An 18,008-nucleotide genomic window follows, 5' to 3' on the forward strand; every position below is an offset into this window, starting at 1 on the left:
AGTTTGAGGCTGCAGTGAGCTACGATTATGCCACTGCACTCCAGCCTGGGTGAGAGAATGAGACCTTTGTTTCTTAAAAAAAAGTACTGATATAGATAAGCCTTCAAAACATTATGCTAAGTGAAAGAAGTCAGACGTGGAAGACCACATTTCTAATCTATTCTTCTATGCAGATATGAAATATCCAAAATAGGCAAATCTATAGAGACAGATTGGTGGTTGCTTAGGGACAGAGGTGGGGTGGGGAAATAGGGGGATGTTGGCCAGAGGGTGGGAGGTTTATTTCTGAGGTGATAAAAGTTTTCTAACATTGACTGTAGTGATGGTTGCACATATCTGTGAGTATACTAAAGATCACCGAACTGTGCCTTTTAAATGGGTGTATTGTATGGTATAAGAATTCTATCTCAATTAAACTGTCGGAAAAAGTGAAGAGAGAGAACATCTGACTATTCCTGGAATTGGGAGCTATGCACTCACATTCTGGGCACACTATCGGTCTGCTCTATGACCCTGGAAAAGTCACTTACTTCTCTGGGCCCCTGTTGGCCCATCCATGAGATAGGGCACAAATAATTCCTGGCTCAGAGGAGCGCTGCAAGAAACCAGGAGCCAGAAGGTACATGAGCACATGGAATCGGAACAGAGGCATTATTTAAATGGGCAAGATTTACTGCCGAGATGTCACTGCTCTGGGAAGCTGCGGCTTACTTGAGTTATGGGCTCAGAGTCCTGCAGAATGTTAAATTGGAAGAGACCTAAGAGATCAATCCAGAACACAGCTAGGACGGCCTTGTTCTCACCCAGGCACATGCACACCCACCCCTGTCCTCCCCATCGAGAACCATTTATCTGCGGCGTGGAGGGCACTGAGCGGGTGGAGGAAACGGCGGGTAGGAACGGCAATGCTTTATTCCGGGTACCCTGGTGGGGCCACCTGCAATGGCCTTTCTCTTCATCTCTACCCCAGGATGTAAAATATAGAATCAGACACAACAGTCTCCCGAAACAGAAAACCCTCTGCCCACGCTTGTCTCCCAGCCCTGATGCCAGATGTCCAGATGTTGTGGCAGCTGCCAGCACATCCCCTCTCTCCAAACCCTAAGTGCACAGCCCAAAGCTGAGCCATGGCGTGAGCCTTGCAGCCGCCCCTGGGCATGGGGCCAGCTCACACGCAGGTCTGCAGCCCCAGCTGCCATCTCCATGCCCTGATATTGGGGGCTTTCTGCAGGGGGAACCACACCAGCAGGCAGAGGGGTCTGGGTGTGCCCCAGTTCAGGACAGGGGAGGGCTCAATGTGCAGGCAGAAGAGGGCTGGCTATTTGGGCCTTTGAATTCTGAGGCAGCAGGCTATAATAATGACAATGGTCATCACAATAAAAGCAACAATAATAAATAACTTCCACCTTCCTTTGCATCAGACATAGACTTTACAGGTACTTACAACAGCCTTATTGGGTTCATAGTATCATCTTCATTGATAGATGAGGAAACAGAAACTCAGAGAGGTTAAGTATCTTGCCCAAGATCACACAGCTAGTAAACGGTAGAGACAGGATTTAAAATGAGGCCTGTCTGGTGTAAAGTCAGTGCAAAAGTGCAATCCATATTTCAGCCCCTTCAGGCCTTCCATCAGGAGCTCCCCAGTGCCAGAAATCCCAGGGACACCTGGCCATCCTGAAAACCATTGCTTTGTGGAAGGGCAATCTAGGGCAACTGCCCTAGTGTCCGTGGAAGTTGGGGCCAGCTCCAAGCCACGTTTATGTCAGGTGCCATGAGGATTTTGTTTAATCTCAGGATGGAGATGCTGGGGAGAAAAGGCATATTTGAGGACTTGGACTCGAAGGCAAGCCTGGTTGCTGGAGAAGCCTGGCCACAGCTGCCAAAACTGGCTTGCCTTTTCCCCACCTACAGAAAGCCACAGAAAGCACCGCTAGTGCTGAGCTGGGAGTGTGCAGCGTGAGGGACGAGGGGAGGTGAAGGCTCATATTCTTCAGAACTGGTGTTTAAGGCAGCAAGATGTTGTAAAGAGAGCACTGGCACTTTGGGAGGCCGAGGCGGGCAGATCACGAGGTCAGGAATTCAAGACTAGCCTGGCCAACATGGTGAAATCCCATCTACTAAAAATACAAAAATTAGCTGGGCGTGGTGGCGTACGCCTGTAATCTCAGCCACTCGGGAAGCTGAGGCAGGAGAATTACTTTAACCCAGAAGGCAGAGTTTGCAATGAGCCAAGATCACGCCACTGCACTCCAGCCTGGGCGACAGAGCAAGACTCCGTCTTGGGTGGGGGCAGCGGGGCAGAGGAGAGCACCGGATCTGGAGTCAGACAAGCCAGCTCCAAATCCTGGCTCCACCAGGTAACCCTGCTGTCACGTTCGACTAGGAACTGAGCTCCTCTGAGCCTCAGTTTCATCAGCTGCAAAATAGAGATAATAATACCTACACCACGGGAAGGTTCTCAGGATAAGGGTGATGATGGAAAGACTTGTAGAACATTTACTATGCACTAAGGATGACTGTTCTAAACATTTACCTAAATCATCTATCTATCTATCTATCTATCTATCTATCTATCTATCTATCTATCTATCCATCCATCCACCCATCCAAATTTAGTATTCTCAACTGCCTAGTAAGGTAGACATTACTACAATTTTCTTTTACAGATGAAAAAAATTGAGGCTTAGTAGGGTTAAGAAATTGGCTCCAGGACACAAAACTGAGTTAGTAGGGGTGCTGGGATTTGAAGATAGACTCCAGACCTTTGGTCTTAATCAACACACTGTGCAGCCCCTGAAGAACACACATGAAGGGTTTAGCAACAGTGTCCAGTCCATGCCCAGGCCAGGGCCTGTGGAAGGTAGGGACACATACTTGGTAGCTGTAGCCCTCAAATGCCCAGGCACCCCTGAGGAACTGGAAGCTTACTAAGAGGTGGCAGTGCTATGTCATCTGGCTATGTCATTGACTGCTTAAATGGAAAACTAGAAATGGACCTATTGCTCTAAGAGAAATAAAAATAAGGAGCTTACATGTTGAGTTATATAAGGGGTCTTCACACTGGTTACTGAAGGCTAGTAAAACCCATCGGCTCTAAGGTGGTCTATGTGGGCTGCAGGGCGCTCCACAGGTGACAGAGATGGCACACTCCCAGGCCAACAGCAGCTAGTCCTGGAAGGTGACACCTCTGCCCTGTCCATCAACATCCACATCCCATCAGGTAACTTCCTTCCAGATTCGCAAAGCCCTTGAAATTTGCAAAAGGGCCCCATCTCCCTAGGACTTGAGGCCAAAACCATAACCCAATGGGCTCCTGAGAAAGAAACAAAGAAAAATGAGCCAGCCAGAGAGAGCCTTGAGTCCACAAGACAGACTCTTGGAACAGAAGAGCATCAGAGTAAGAACAGGGAAACAGAAACAAATCCACAGCCTCCAGAGCCACCTTCCCTGGCCAGTAAATGAATGTGGCTTGCTTCAAAATTCAGAATCAGGAAAAAGCGTGTCTCTCCTGCCACAAGTCCTTTTGTCAGACACTCATGTAACAATCATATTTCCATTTTTGCTTTTGCTGTCAAAAAGCTCAGAGTTGAATTTAATGCTCCGTGTCAGTGACTATCTAATCCTAGGTCCCTGGCCAAACCATCTCCTCCTCACCCCCATGCTTTCATCTACATGGGGATCTGCTTTTCTGACTTTATTTAAAATGATCAACAGCCCAAATTCTCCCTTTTGGAAGCTGGTAGGACACACATTAGAGATGGATGCTGGATTACAGAGGGAGATTTTATTATAGCATTAAGAGAGACTTGGATTAGTGACCTTTGAAGGCCCCCTTTTAGCCCTGAGATTCTGAACTGTGATCAGTGAATAGTCTGCTATGCTCTTCTTCCACAATGAAGCAGAGCCTCTCCATGGCCCGAGGGAAAAGGATGTTCTGCTCCTGGAATGTCAAGGAGGGATTGACTCTGGTGCATACGCTGGCCCAGCACAATGAGCACAGACTGCTTGCTGCTTCTTGCCAGCATCACCTTACGGCACTGGAGCGGGGCTTGGTCACTGGATGCCAGCTGGCACCAAGGCACAATGAGATGACTACTTGAGAACAATGGCTTTTCCACCGTGCAACTGCCTGCTAATTGACAACAAAGGCTTCGTGGTGACTGGAGTCACAAGGCTGTCTTTACAAGCACAGGACGGAATGCAAGCCTCTTTTAGGACCCATTTTTAAGCATAAACAGGAGCCACCGTGAGGTCCCTTCTGCAGCCCTAGAGTCTCTGGAGCTCATGCTACACATTCATCAGAGGCACAGTATCAGATTATCTGAGCTTGAACAGTTTGCCAGCGCTATGCCCAAGTTGTGGGTTGCCCCTTCTAGCTCACAGTCTGATGTGAGGAGACTTTCCTGATCCACTTCTTTGGGACGATGGAGTTCAACTCCTTCATAATTTATAGATTGGGAAACTGAAGCCCCGGAAAGCTGTGGCTTGCCCAAAGTCAGAGTCCAGTTACCAGCAGAGCAAGAACTAAAACCAGTGTCTTCAGAGAGAGAGACCTGAGATTGGCTGAGATCTGACACGTCAGGGCATTATATTTAAGAAGAAGGCATAGTTTACGCCACAGTATGTGGATCCATGGGTCAGGAGAGGCTGGACTCCATCCAAAGGCCCAAGTCAACAGCTGACCTGGACCAACAAAAGGTTAACATCTCAGAAGAGTGTAATATAAGCATTAGGAAGAGGCAATTAACAGCTGGGAATTAGGATAAGCACATTTTTGAGTGGCGAAGATTCTCCTTAGGTAAAAACTTAGCCATGAACTAACCCTACAAACAAAAGTGTCAATGAAACAAACCACACCTTTCCCCAGCATCCCAACATCCAGATACTCCTTACTTACGTTGCTTGAGCAAATGTTGGTTAACTGGGTGCCCCCAGGTCATGTGGTGAAGACTGGACCTTAGCTTCTAGTCAGCCTGCCTGTGCCTACCCTCAGCCTGGGTGTAGTTCTGACTTTCAGGTGCACCAGCCTATTATTATTGGACTTGTAACAGAGACACCTCCCTCTCCTCTGACCCACGATTCCTTCCTGGTTCCTAGGTAGTCTGCCTTCCAGCTCTGGGTGAGCACTGCTGCTATTTCAGAGTTCCTGGGAGCAAGAATGGGATTTAAGGTAAGCCAAGTTCAGCATGGTTCTGTAGTAAGAAGGGGCTAGTTTTTGGAAGACGGTGTTTCTTTTGTGCTTAATTTATTTTCCCCTTGCACCCAGTGGTCAATGGAACAGAAGAAGCTCCCTGGCTGTGACAATCACGCTTAGAGCTTGGATATTATTACAGGGGTTTTAGTTGATGGAATATTTTCACATATAGCTAATATAAATCTAACCACAGACTATGAAGCCACTAACAATGTTCTTGTTTAACAACTGGAAACTGGGGCCAAAAGAGGTTAAGTGCCCTGATCAAGGGCGTATAGTTAACAGTAAAGTCAGGACAGCAATTGTATTCTCTGCCTCTTTAGTGAAGTGAGACTATCTTTCAAAACAGCTTGGCTGATCTAGACCTTGCCAAGACATTTTTATTGTTTAAGCACGGGTCTTATTGAGGTCCAAAGGGCAAGAGTTTGTGCAATGAGTTAGCACCCCTAGGGGAGGTGGAGGAAGCCACTGGGCTTGGCTCTGTGGTACGATTCAGGACTGACTGCTCTGGGCCAGTATCAGCATCTAAGCTCCCTGACTTGCCCGGCACATGTCTTCTGCCTCACACATTTTTTTTTTTTCTTTTGAGATGGAGTCTCGCTCTGTCGCCCAGGCTGGAGTGCAGTGGTGCAGTCTCAGCTCACTGCAACCTCCATCTCCTGGGTTCAAGCGATTCTCCCACCTCAGCCTCCCGAGTAGCTGGGATTACAGGTATGCGCTACCAGGCCTAGCTAAATTTTTTTTTGTATTTTTAGTAGAGACTGGGTTTTACCATGTTGGCCAGGCTGGTCTTGAACTCCTGACCTCAAGTGATTGGCCCGCCTTAGCCTCCCAAAGTGCCGGGATTACAGGCATGAGCCACTACACCCGGCCTCTGCCTCACACTTTTATCCCTAAGCTTACCTAGGGCCAGTTCTCTCTTTTCATATCATCCTTTCCATTTCTTCCTCTCTCTCCTGTCTCTTCTCCCCAACACAGGCCATAGGAAACAGCCCCAATACATAAGCAGGGGCTCCTGCTTCCCAGTCCCCTCCTAGGGCCTGAGTCCCATAGAACAAGCTCAGAATGCCGAGCTCCAGGTGGGGAGAAGAAAACCACCAAAGGCCCGCCCCTTCCCAGTTCCTCCCTTTTGGGAAGGTGCTGGTATTGTGTCTAAGGTTGAAAGCACCGTTGAGGAGCCAGACCTAAATTGAGGGCTTGGTTCTGCCATAGTCCATATGTCTTTGGGCAAATGGCTTTCCCCATCTGGGCCCCAGGTTCCTCAGCCGAAAAATGACAGGCTGGATTCTGTAATCTCTGAGTTCCTTCCCTGCTCTCCGGTTCTCCATGAGGACTCATTTGGTAGGCAGCAAGGGCAAAGTCTTCGTGTAGATCTCATCCTCCAAAATGACTTTGCCATAAGAGGGGAGGCTGTAGCCGGGGCTAATAGATCCATGGAAACTCTGGAGAGTCCAAAAAGGATTTTAATTAAAATGTAAATGTTGTAAACAACGTAAGTCCCTCCATCCTGGGAGCCGGGACCCAGCTGCCGAGAGGGGTCAGGGCACCATTCACCATTATTAGCATTAACAGGTGCCCTGTATATGTTACCAATGCAAAATTCTACTAGGGGAGCTCATTCACATGGAACATCGATGCAGGAATGGGTGTCCTCTAGCTTAGCTCAGGCACAGAGTGAGCTGCATCTACAGGTGATTTTGTGTTCTGAATTTGAGAAAGATCCTCTGCCCCTCAATATCTTCCTATCACATTATATACACTGCTGATGCCTAAAATCCCATCATTAAGGGTTCCTTTGAGTTGGGGATTGTGCTTCTATTGGTAGACAAATAGTGCAGAAGAGGTAATTTTGTTTCATTATTGGTCACTTCCTAGCTATGCAATCTTGAGCACCAGTCCTTTGCTTTCTTAGAAATAGTGACAAAAATGCCTAGGCCACTGTTCCCAAGGTGAGGGGTCCTGCCTGGTCCAAGGACTCTTTTCTTGGAAAACCCAGAATCCTAGGGTTGGGCTCAGCCTTCTCCGGGTTGATGATCCAGGGACTCAAATTTGGAGGATGATTCCCCCAAACAGCAGGAAGAAACTCAAGGCCTGGTAACCAGACAGAGGCACCTCAGAGGACTACAGACCTCGGCCAAGAAACAACAGAGCAGCCAAAGAGGTAGCCATGGCAATGCAAGGCCTTCCCTGGGGCTTCTGCCGCAAGGGAGGAGGAAAATGGGAATATAACAGGTGCACCGAATAGTGAATACACAGTGTACCGTTACTGGCTGGGTTTTGCATTCACTCTACTCACTGTAACTTTTGGTGATTGTCTAATTATGGCTCATTACAAACATCAAGTTACATTTGCAAGGTCGTAACTAGAGGGGAAGGATACAATTATTATAATGAAGCCTCCCCAGCCCCAGATTCTCTCCCCTCCAATCAGTCCCAAATGCCACTGCTTAAATCGTCTTCCTTGTCTGCCACCTGGTCCTCCTAGGTCTCCTCTCCTGCATCCCTCCCTAAGGCCAGTGTGACAAAGCATGACTCAGGGCACAGTCCCCTTGGTGGCCTGTCCCCATCAAAGGGCACCTCTCTCTCATTTTCTTTCCTTGCTAATGAGCAGCTTTTTCCTGGCACTGCCTGGATGGAGGGGAAGAGCTGAGGATGTCAGATGGTGACTAATAGAGTCATAGGGACTGGGCCTATGAAAAAGAGTGGCTGGATGGAAGGCAGAGTTGGCACCTTCTAGCATAGTCTAGGGTTGAGGCCTGCCTGCTGGCTGTTGCCCACCAAACAGTTCCTTGAAGGCCAGACACCAGTACCCAAACTCTGGGTCAGCGAGACTTCAGCACTAAGGACCATGAGGGCTTGGAGTGGCCTGGATGCAACTTGTTTCTTGCCTTTCTCAGAAGTGCTTCTGCCACTAAATGCTGTCCTGGAGGAGCAGCCTCTCTCCTCTAAAGGCAGCATCCCAGGACAAAGGCTGGTCTGTATCCAGAAAAAGGGAAGAGAGGGTTTGTCTCAGTCCTTCACTTCTGTTGGTCACACCCCAGGGGCAAGTGCCATGTTTTTTTAAAAAAGGATGGTCACTAACCCAAGTATTCAGAGAAGAGAAGGCTGAAGCAGGTGAGGAGGAAACTGAGAAGTCTAGGCAAACGCTCCCTTTCATGGAACCAGTAGTTTTCAGTCTGGAAAAGAGATTTCAAGGTAGCATGACAGACGGCTTCGAAATGTGAAGGGCTGTCATGTATGAGAGGGAGCACAATTGGCCCAAATGCCCGGAGGCAGAATCAGGACCTGCAATCCAGCCAACTGCAGACTTGGCTGTCTCACAGAGTCGTGAGTTCACGGATGACCACTCGTCGAGAATGCCAGAGAAAAGGCTCTCTCATGGGTGGCAGATGCTCTCTGAGATCCCTTCCATCCTAAGACTGTGTCTTTGGCTCCAGGCAACAGCCTAGCACAACACCCTGCACATAGTAGGTGCTTAGTCAATGTTTCTAGATTGTGAAATGGACAGTATTCAATTACACAGGGACATTGGTTTTCAGGTAGGTGTAGAGGCTTTCTCCAGCAAATCCTTTCAAACCGAAGATGTGGAATGCAGCTCTTAAATAGGGGTTAACAAAATTCTTGCAAATTAGAGTCACCCAGCGTGCTTACTTAAAATGCAGATTCTTGGGCCCCACTCAAAATTTGAATTCAGTAGGCCTGGAATGGGGACAAGAAATCTGCAATTTTTAACAAGCTCCCCAGATGATTCCCAAGCATGTGATTGCCAGGCGGCATTTAAATAAATGTAGACTCAGAAAAACATCACGGGTTCTTCTGGTTCCCGGATATAAGCCCTACCGGAGTTGTCATTGCCTTTGCCTTACCACATCCACTTGCCCCCCGGAGATGGGGAAGGACTCCATCCGATGCTGGCTGAACCCCAGGCAACGCTGAGGCCCAGAGCAGCAGGAAGAAGGCAAAGGCATCTTTCAGCATGAGACCCACTCTCAGACCCATGGCATTGCACGCTACCGAAAAGCCAGCCTTCGATATCCTTGCTATATCGCAGAGTCAGCCCTGACAGCCTGCCCACCTCCCACAGTGCTTCTGATCTCACGGCTTACCTTGCTGTCATGGCTCCACCTGGCCCTCCTACCTGGGTTCAGTCTTTGCTCCCACCTTTCCCCCAAACTGGGCTCTGCTTCTGCTTCCTCTACCTTTGGTTTCCCAGCCTGGCGCCCAGGACTCTGAGGCCATCCCCCACCAGTGGTGTCAGTCCTGTAAGCAGAAGCCAGCCAGCATCCCTCTGGGAGCTCTTCCACGTGCTGGACTGAGAAAGTGGAAGGGCTAGAATCCATGGCAGGAAGTACCATGGAGATACAGGAGGCTCTCCATGGTACTTCCTGCCCCTCTCCCACTGCCACTGGAAGGAGTGAACCCAGTCTCTTCCAGGAGGCTCTCTCTCACTGTGCCCACATCGCCGCCAAGTGCCCGGCCAGGCCAGAACTTCCCCTCCCCCTGCCCTTTCCCTACAGGGATTGATTTGTTTAGTTTCAACAGTTTAATCTTCTCCTTCCCTTGGAGCAGAGCTGTTTCCCTCTGATCCCTGGTGGGAGGCATTCTGTATCGGACTGAGTACAGGGGGGCTGGGGGAGGAAGGTAAAAGAGAAAAAAGAAAGAAGGAAGGAAAACATACCTCCTGGCAAAACCCAGAGCACCACTTACACAACATCTTTCCCCGCTACATTATTTATAGCGTGACTGAAACATTTATTCCTCCCCTGCTCTTCCAAAGAGCACCAGTGTTTCCGCTGAGCTGTAACAAGTACAGCAAGGCCGGCTGCAAGGCTGTATTGCTCAGCGCCATCACCAAACATTGGAGACACAACAGTGCACCCCAGAAAATGCCGTGGCTCCCAGCAGCCGGGAGGAGGGGCCGGGCCTGGGAAGAGAGAGGGCGTAGTTCCAGGATGCTGGGAGAGGAGGCCAGGGGAGGGGATCAGGACTCTCAGTCCAGAGAGGAATGGTGGCAGCGTTTCAGACAAACAGCTCAGGGGCCCACATTCAGCCAGACTTGCAGAGAACCCGAGGCCTAGACCGGCGAGGGGCCGTGGTAGGCAATTAGCCAAATCTACAACAATGACACTCTAAGGAGCGGTGGCTGCTGACAGGCTTTCTGAGCAGGTATTTTTATTTATTCAACAATTTATATGAATAAGTACATTTATGAATTGCAGTGGGATAGAGAGGGTGGGGACTTTGAATCCACTCAGATCTACTTCCCAGGGCCCCTCTGACACCTCCCTGCCATGTGACAGAGATCAAGTCACATCATCTCAAGGAGGCTCAGTTCCCCTTTCTGCAAAAATAGGGATGACAGCTCCTACCTTACATTGCTGTTTTGAGGTGTTACGCTTGTATATGAAAAGTACCTAGCGCTGTATGTGAATTTCACCTCAATTTAAAAAAGGGTAGGGGGCACTTAGCACAATGTCTACCCCGTAATGGACACTCCACAAAGGGAGCTCCTCGCATTTTTGGTTGACGAGTGTTATGAGTATTCATGGATTTTTGCGGAACTGTTTCCTGATGGCCTGGTTTACAAACTAATGACAATACATGGGGAGGCCTAGCATTCTCAGAGCCTCTAGCTGTCTTTAAAAGAATACACCCACAGACCCATGATGGTGGAGTTCCACACCCCTACTCCTCCTGGCTTTGCCTTAGCTGAACAAGCAGCTACCTTGTCCCTTTCACGGCCGCGTGTCTGCTGGGCACCTTCAGAACCACGTCTATCAACAAACACTGTGGTCTGCCTGCTGATCTGGGCACCCCCAGACCCAGCACCCTTTCTGCCTTTCCTTCTTGTTTCTCTCACTTTGCCATGCTTGTTGGTAGCCAGGCCAAGCCCCGCCCATCTCAGTGGAAGTCCTATTTCCTGCCGAAGTCTGTGCTGACAACTCCTGCCCTTATGACCCTCCCTGAGCCCTCGAGCTGCTCCCAGGCTGGCCTCTGACCTATGGCTTTTCACAGTTGTGATGCCTTGTTCATGTGGGCCCAGTCTCCCTGACCACACAATCGGCCCCTTGAAGTCCAGGACTAGCTCATTTTCTTCTCTGGTGTCCCCAAGGGGACTGGAAGTCGGCTCGTACGAGCTGGGCAGTTATAAACAAGTCAAAGGACATATCTAAGATTTGGTTTCTTTTCTGTAAAATGAGGCTACCTCAATGGAATAACAGCAATGACAGCCACAAGCACAGCTAACCCTTCCTGTGGGCACAGAGTACGCGAGCTGTGGTCTAAGAGCCGAGTGCGTACTCAGGAACACTCAGGCAGGAGTGGCTCCGGGTTTTTGGATGTGAAGTGCATATGATTTTGGCAGTCTACTTATAAAATAGGGCCTCAGATTGGGTCTGTGCAAATAAGGGGCTCTGAAGCTTAAGCTGCAATGGCTTCCTGGAAAATCTATCTCTGCAGCCAGGTATTGTCATTGTCCCTATTTTACAGATGAGGAGACTGGGCCCAGAGATAGTAACTCGCCCACCATCACACAGGCAGCATGCGTGGAACTGGGATTCACACCAGGCAGCATGGTACCTGAGCCCATAATCCCAACGGCCTCAGTCCCTGCCCAGGACACGGGGCTAGTAAGGTGTGAGGCAATGCCACACAGCCCTAAGACACTGCCAACGTATAGGTTGGCAAAGAGTCAAAAAAGGAAAGAAACAGGGATCTATAGTCAGCCCAACCTCCTCATTTCCCAGATGAGGAATCCATTGCTCTGGGAAGTCAGAGACTTTTGCAAAGGCACACACAACACCAAACACAGTCCAGGACCCTCTCTCTCTATTGCCTGCGTGAGGATTGAGGAAGGACTTTTGGGCAGTTGGTCAGTGGCTGGTTCTCCTCCATCACTGCGGTCAGAGCTCAGGGCTGCTGCTGAGAACCCTGTAATGCTCCGAGGGGCTGTTTGTTGGCCTCCTTGGGCCCCAGGAAGCAGAATAGTATGGTGAGAGGGGCATGGATCTCAGAAGGCCCTGAGGTCACATCCAGCCTCCGGTGCTTCCTACCAGTGGACCCTCGAGCCAGCCTCTTCAGCATCAATTTCCACATCTGTAAATTGGGAGTGTTAATACCTGCTGTAAGCGTGCTGGGGATCAAACAAGATCACACATGCAAAGAACCCACCCAGTAGCTAGCATTTTCCATAGTGGATTTTAGAAGTTGTGTAATCAATGTTAGTGCCCCTGCCTCTGTCTAATAGTCAGACGCCTACATTATAACAGAGTACCCCTAGGACTTCAGGCCTTTGTTCTTGTCTTATCCCTGGTTTGACTTTCTGCCTGTTTCCTGATCTGGCCTCTCAGCTGCTGCCAAATGCCCCTGAGGACAAAGCTGCTGCCGGGCCTCTCTCTCTGGGTACTATCCCAACTTCCCACTCCTCTCTCTCCCTCACTGAGCCTGTGTCCCACCCCCAGTTCTGCAGAACAGCCTCAGCCTCAGGTGGTGGGGAGTATGAGGCCTGAGCTACGGGCAAAAGACCCCTCTGAAGGGCTGGCCCCGGCAGGAGTGCATTGTCTAAAGGAAGGTCGCAAATTCAGGCTTGGTTTTAGATGTGGCTACCTCAGAGGGCTATAAGCCTTGATCTCTTCTTCTGTAAAGTGGTGATTTCAATGCCTCTGCCTCTCTCAGGGTGGCTGGAAGGATGAAATGCAGTGATGGATCTGGAGTGCCTAGCAGATGCGTGGCACGTGGTAAGCTCTCCATAATGCAGGTAATTACTGTCCGAATCCATGTATTCACCATCATGCAGTTTTGGGGGTAGGGCTGTCAGGTGGGCAGTCAGCAGGTGTTAGTGGCCTGGTCTGGGTGGTTGGTTCATCCAGGAGTCTGGACAGCAGCTGGGGGGTCCAAGGAGCAACACCCAGCTTTCCCGAGATGGCTGGCAGGCTCAGGTGGGACAAGGAGCCTGCTCTCCTGACAAAGTCAATGTTGGTGGTTGGGCACGATGGCTCACGCCTGTAATCCCAGCACTTCGGGAGGCCAAGGTGGGTGGATCACTTGAGGTCAGGAGTTCGAGACCAGCCTGGCCAACATGGTGAAACCCTGTCTCTACTAAAAATACAAAAATCAGCTGGGCGTGGTGGTGCATGCCTATAATCCTAGCTACTCGGGAGGTTGAGGCACGATAATTGCTTGAACCCGGGAGGCAGAGGTTGTAGTGAGCCAAGATGGCACCACTGCACTCCAGCCTGGGTGACAGAGACTCCGTCTCATAAAAAGTAAATAAATAAGTCAACATTGGTAATGGTTCTGCCCGGGGTCTGACTAGCCCCTCACTCTCTAATGGGCCAGCTTGCCAGGGTGGCCGGGGCTGGGGGCGGTGCTCATCTCCTTGGGCACTGAAGAGCCAGCCCAGACACTGAGACTGGTTCCAGATAGTTAACTCCTTTCTGCTTCTTCCCAACTCTTCCTTCCTCTTTGCATCCAGGACTCAGTTTCCCACTAGCCCCTCAGCCTGACTTCCTCCTCTGTTTTAAGTGCCTCAAAAGCCACCTCCTGACCTGAAACAGAATCCAACCTTCAGAGTTGATCGTTGATTATAGCACCCAGAAAAAGGTGGTTGGAGGCTTGGCAGCATCCTTACTCCCAAGAGGAAATGCTGCTTCCCATTCAGTATCCAGTACTTTTTCCTGTCCCATGAGCCACCCTGTATCCGAACACATCGAAGGCAGATTTGTGTTTGTAATTCTTGCAGTGGAGAAGAAGGGAGGGATATGGAATCTAGTGCCAGATGATCTACTACTGCTCATTAGGTGCCCGATGTCAGAGAAAGCAAGTTGACCTGACTCTGAGAACAATATAACAGCCAAACACCATTCGCATTATTATGCACTGAGGGTTTTATACACATGGTCCCCTTTATTCCTACAACAACCCTGGGAGGTGGGTACTATTATTCCCATTTTCTTTCATTTTTCATTGATTCACTCTTTTAAAAATATTCTGAAATGTCTACTATATGCCAAGTAAGGCAGCAGGAATACAGTGAGGAATGAGACAGATGTGGTCTCTGTCCTCATAGGAGCTTACGATCCAGATGAGGAAACTGAGACTCAGAAAGGTTGGCTAAGGCCACAGAATATCTGCCCTAGATAGTGATGTCATGCCTCCTATCTCTCTGCAGGGTGCTTTGCAGTCTACAGATCCCACAGGATCAGTTCATTCCAGAGCGGCCCCCAGCCAGCTGCTGAGTGTCTCGGGAGTCTGGTGCAAGCTCTCAGCAAAAACTGGCTTCGGCATGAGGATATGTAAAGGCACCTTGTAATCTGCAAAGCACAGTGTGCCCATTGGTTGTTTTTGTGCCTCATTATGCTATAGCCCAGCGGGTACCTGGGAGGCTGGCCAGGTCCCTCTCTAATTGCAGGATGCTGGCAAGTGAGCCCAGGCAGGCACCTGTGCCAGTCCCTGAACGGCACTGGGTTCCAGGCAGAGAGAGCTTGCCCTCCCTGACTCTCCTACCAATGCTCCAGCTCTAGCTTCCATCTGACTGCAAAGCAACCTGGTCTCACACCAGCCACTTCTGCTGCTCAATGCCATCTCCTTCCGGCTGTTCCTGCTGCTTCAAAGAGTGGGGAGTAGAGAGAAGAGAAGCGAGGTGCGAACAATAGCCAACTTGCCTAAAACTCTGATGCTGGAGTTAATAAAAAGAAATGAACCCATTCAGGCTAGCACCCAAATTACAGTCTCAGTTTCACTGTAGTGATAGAAGGCGGGTACTTTGGCAGGGAGCTTGGAGTCGGTCTGGGGGGTGGCAGTAGTGGGGGAAACAGGTCTTCTGCGCAGACTGGTAAGCCTGGCAATTGGATTTGTTTTCTCCCTCCCTTTCCAGCCACCTCTCCTCTCCAGATCCCACTCCTATGAATATATTTGTTTGTTTATTCCTATTGATTTCTAAGGCCTAGGTGCCCCCAGGGCCTCTTGCTGCAGGTGTACCAAATGCAAATCCGACAATTACAGTCAATCCAGCAGCAAAAATTCCCCATAAAAGGAGAAAGCCAAAGGGCTTCCTGCTGGGGAGTGCAGCCCTCAAAGACAAGTCCTCCATTGAAGGGCAGCTTCAATGGGCCTGGCAGCACTGGCACAGGCAGGCACCAGGGTGGGCAGATGGTCTGGGGGACGGGCCCTCGGGCTGGCTCTGAGAAAGCTCTGCCTCACGTTGCCAGTGGTGGCACCTTGCCTTGGGAGACCTTCAAGGTCCCCATCTGCCTGAGCTGGGTGAGTGGTGAGAGATGGCAACTCTTCTCCAGCCCAAGCCTCCCATGCTGGATCCTTCAACCATTCAACAGCTATCTAGTGGACCTTCTTAGAGCCAAGCTCTGTGCTGGGCCCTGGGCATATACAAGTGAACAAGACAGACATGGCCCTAGTGCTGATGGGGCTGACAATGTAGTTAGGAAGACCAGATTAAAAACAACAAAGATGGGAGTGTTCAGGTAGAAACCAGGAAGAAAGTGAGATGGACAAGGGGTGCTTTAGGTAGGTCAGGAAACAGACATTTCCTGAGAAACATGACATTTACACTGAGACCTGAAGGATGAGATGGAGCCAAATGTGAAGCATGGGGGAAGGGCTTTCCAGCTGAAGGAACATGTGCAAAGGCCCTGGGGCAGGGGCGGATGGAACATCCTGGTTCGTCTGAGAAACTGAGATCCTTGTGGCTATAGCTCAATGAGCAACGGGGCCTGTGGCATGAGATGGGCTCAAAGAGTGGCAAGGACAAGACCACAGGGGCCTCAGCGGCCCATGAAAATGTCAAGCAAGAGCTGATGGCCTGGCCAAGCCTGTGATTCTAGATCCTTTTTAAAGGAAGGAAACTTTCTGGCTCCTAAGTTTTCAGCGACCTTTGTCTGCCTTTAAGTAAGGAAAGGAAAGAGGTTAAGCGCTGTGATGCTTGGCTCTTCCTCCTAATTTTAAGTACACTGTGTATACCTCACAGTATACTGTGGGGGCACCTAGGCCTTTGGAAATCAATAGGAATAAACAAACAAATATATGCATAGGAGTGGGATCTGGAGAGGAGCGGTGGCTGGAAAGGGAGGGAGAAAACAAATCCAATTGCCAGGCTTACCAGTCTGCGCAGAAGACCTGTTTCCCCCACCACTGCCGCCCCCCAGACCGACTCCAAGCTCCCTGCCAAATGAGTTATCATTCAGAACGAAATCCACTCATTCATTGATTCACTCCAGTAAATATCGAATACTTATTATGTGCAAGGCAGACAGGCAAGCAGGCAGGAGGCGAGCAGCAAGTTAGGCTGGACCAGGGTGGGCCAGGTGTGACATAATGGGGAGGTCAGACTTGATTTGGGAGAATGGAGACCCTTGGAAGGTTTTGAAACAAGGGAATGACAGACTCAGATTCAAACTGCCCAAGGAGGTTCCAGCTGCTGCGTGAAGGCTGACGGGAGGGGTCAGCTGAGGCTATTGTCAGAGGCCACTGTGATTGTTCACTAAGCAGCATAACTCCTCCTGGAGGCATCTGGCCACTCCCCAGGACAGAATGAAAGGGCTGTGCCTCTGTGCTTGGGTAACGTTTCATCCTTACTTCTATTGTAGTCCGGTTTCTATACACCCTTGACTGGAGAATCCATTAAGACTTTGGGCAAAGGCATGGGGAAGGCAGGAGCAAACCTGTCCCCGAGGGTCATTTTGCTGATGTTGACAGTGAAATGAATTTGTCTTCCTGGGCACGCAATAACTTGACAGAAGGGAAGGCACCCAGAGGGCCTGGGTGACAGAGGAAGTTGGACCGGAATTCCTTTCTCCATGCACCTACCTATTCACGTGGATAACTGAGAGCTGGCTGCCCGTTGAAAGAGGTGCACATTTGGAAACCAAGAGGCCAATTCCCTCTGGCCTGTGCCTAGCATAAGGAATGCACTTGACGTTAACATTTCAAAGCACCAGCCCAGTCCACAGCTCCCCGAGAGGGACACAGCCTGGGCAACCTGCGCCTGCAGCAGTGTTTGATATGCAAATGTCCTGCCTGTTTAAGCTAGACTGTTTGTGAAATGGAGAGTTAGAATCAGAATTAAGGAATTTGAGCTTTTAGAAATCATGGAGCCCCAAACCCTCGCTTCATAGAGCAGCTTCCAGAGGCCACACTCAGGTGAAATAACTTATTCTGGTACCCTCAGTTAAAGGGCCTCAGTCTCTTCCATGGATTTCAGTGGCCACGTGGAGTCCATGTTTACATCTCGGGGCTTACCTGCTAAACCCAGCACACACATAAAATGTCTCCCAACAGCAGTCTGGGATCTGAGAAATACTTAGATAAAAAGCCATTTACCAAGACCCCAATGCCTCTTAACAGAGGCTGTGTGCCCGGCAGGATAAGCCAATTACCAAAGGATTGTGTTCCAAATGCAGCCTAACTGTCTCAGAGTCACATCAGGGGGTATCAATAAGTAGTTAATCAATGGATTGATTGATCATTTACTGCTAGTAATTAAATTCTGAGAAGGTACAAATTCTATCACACCTACAGTCAGTCAAAAGCAATGCTCAGATCCTGGGACATGGAAGCAAATAAAAATAGAAACCGCATGGCCACAGTATTAGAAAGGCAGAGTGGGCGGGGGAGAAGGAGACTTTATCTCATAGCATTGCAGGTGTTTAGGGTAAAAGAAACCTTGGGGCCGGCGCGGTGGCTCACGCCTGTAATCCCAGCACTTTGGGAGGCCGAGGCGGGCGGATTACCTGAGGTCAGGAGATCAAGACCACAGTGAAACCCCATCTCTACTAAAAATACAAAAAATTAGCCGGGC

At 49.7% G+C, this 18,008-nt stretch overlaps 1 protein-coding gene and 1 long non-coding RNA gene across 6 annotated transcripts in view, besides 2 other annotated features; one reads left to right on the top strand and one right to left on the bottom strand.

The window, feature by feature from the left end:
- DSCAML1 (DS cell adhesion molecule like 1) overlaps positions 1–18,008 on the bottom strand; it is a 389,743-nt gene that overhangs the window by 226,182 nt on the left and 145,553 nt on the right. The window lies entirely within an intron of this gene.
- On the top strand, positions 5,103–14,901 carry LOC105369515 (uncharacterized). Its single transcript, XR_948060.3, has 3 exons — positions 5,103–5,173; positions 12,872–12,953; positions 14,367–14,901. It is a non-coding gene; the product is annotated as an uncharacterized LOC105369515 (long non-coding RNA).
- Positions 8,829–9,514: an enhancer, noted in NCBI's record as "H3K4me1 hESC enhancer chr11:117533497-117534182 (GRCh37/hg19 assembly coordinates)". NCBI's record gives its function as "activates a minimal SCP1, AML or CMV promoter by ChIP-STARR-seq in naive H9 embryonic stem cells {active_cell/tissue: H9 hESC(naive)}" and the evidence as "EXISTENCE:reporter gene assay evidence [ECO:0000049][PMID:30033119]".
- Positions 15,023–15,859: an enhancer, noted in NCBI's record as "H3K4me1 hESC enhancer chr11:117539691-117540527 (GRCh37/hg19 assembly coordinates)". NCBI's record gives its function as "activates a minimal SCP1, AML or CMV promoter by ChIP-STARR-seq in primed H9 embryonic stem cells {active_cell/tissue: H9 hESC(primed)}" and the evidence as "EXISTENCE:reporter gene assay evidence [ECO:0000049][PMID:30033119]".

Source organism: Homo sapiens, chromosome 11, assembly GCF_000001405.40.
Source record: "Homo sapiens chromosome 11, GRCh38.p14 Primary Assembly".
Classification (NCBI taxonomy): domain Eukaryota; kingdom Metazoa; phylum Chordata; class Mammalia; order Primates; family Hominidae; genus Homo; species Homo sapiens.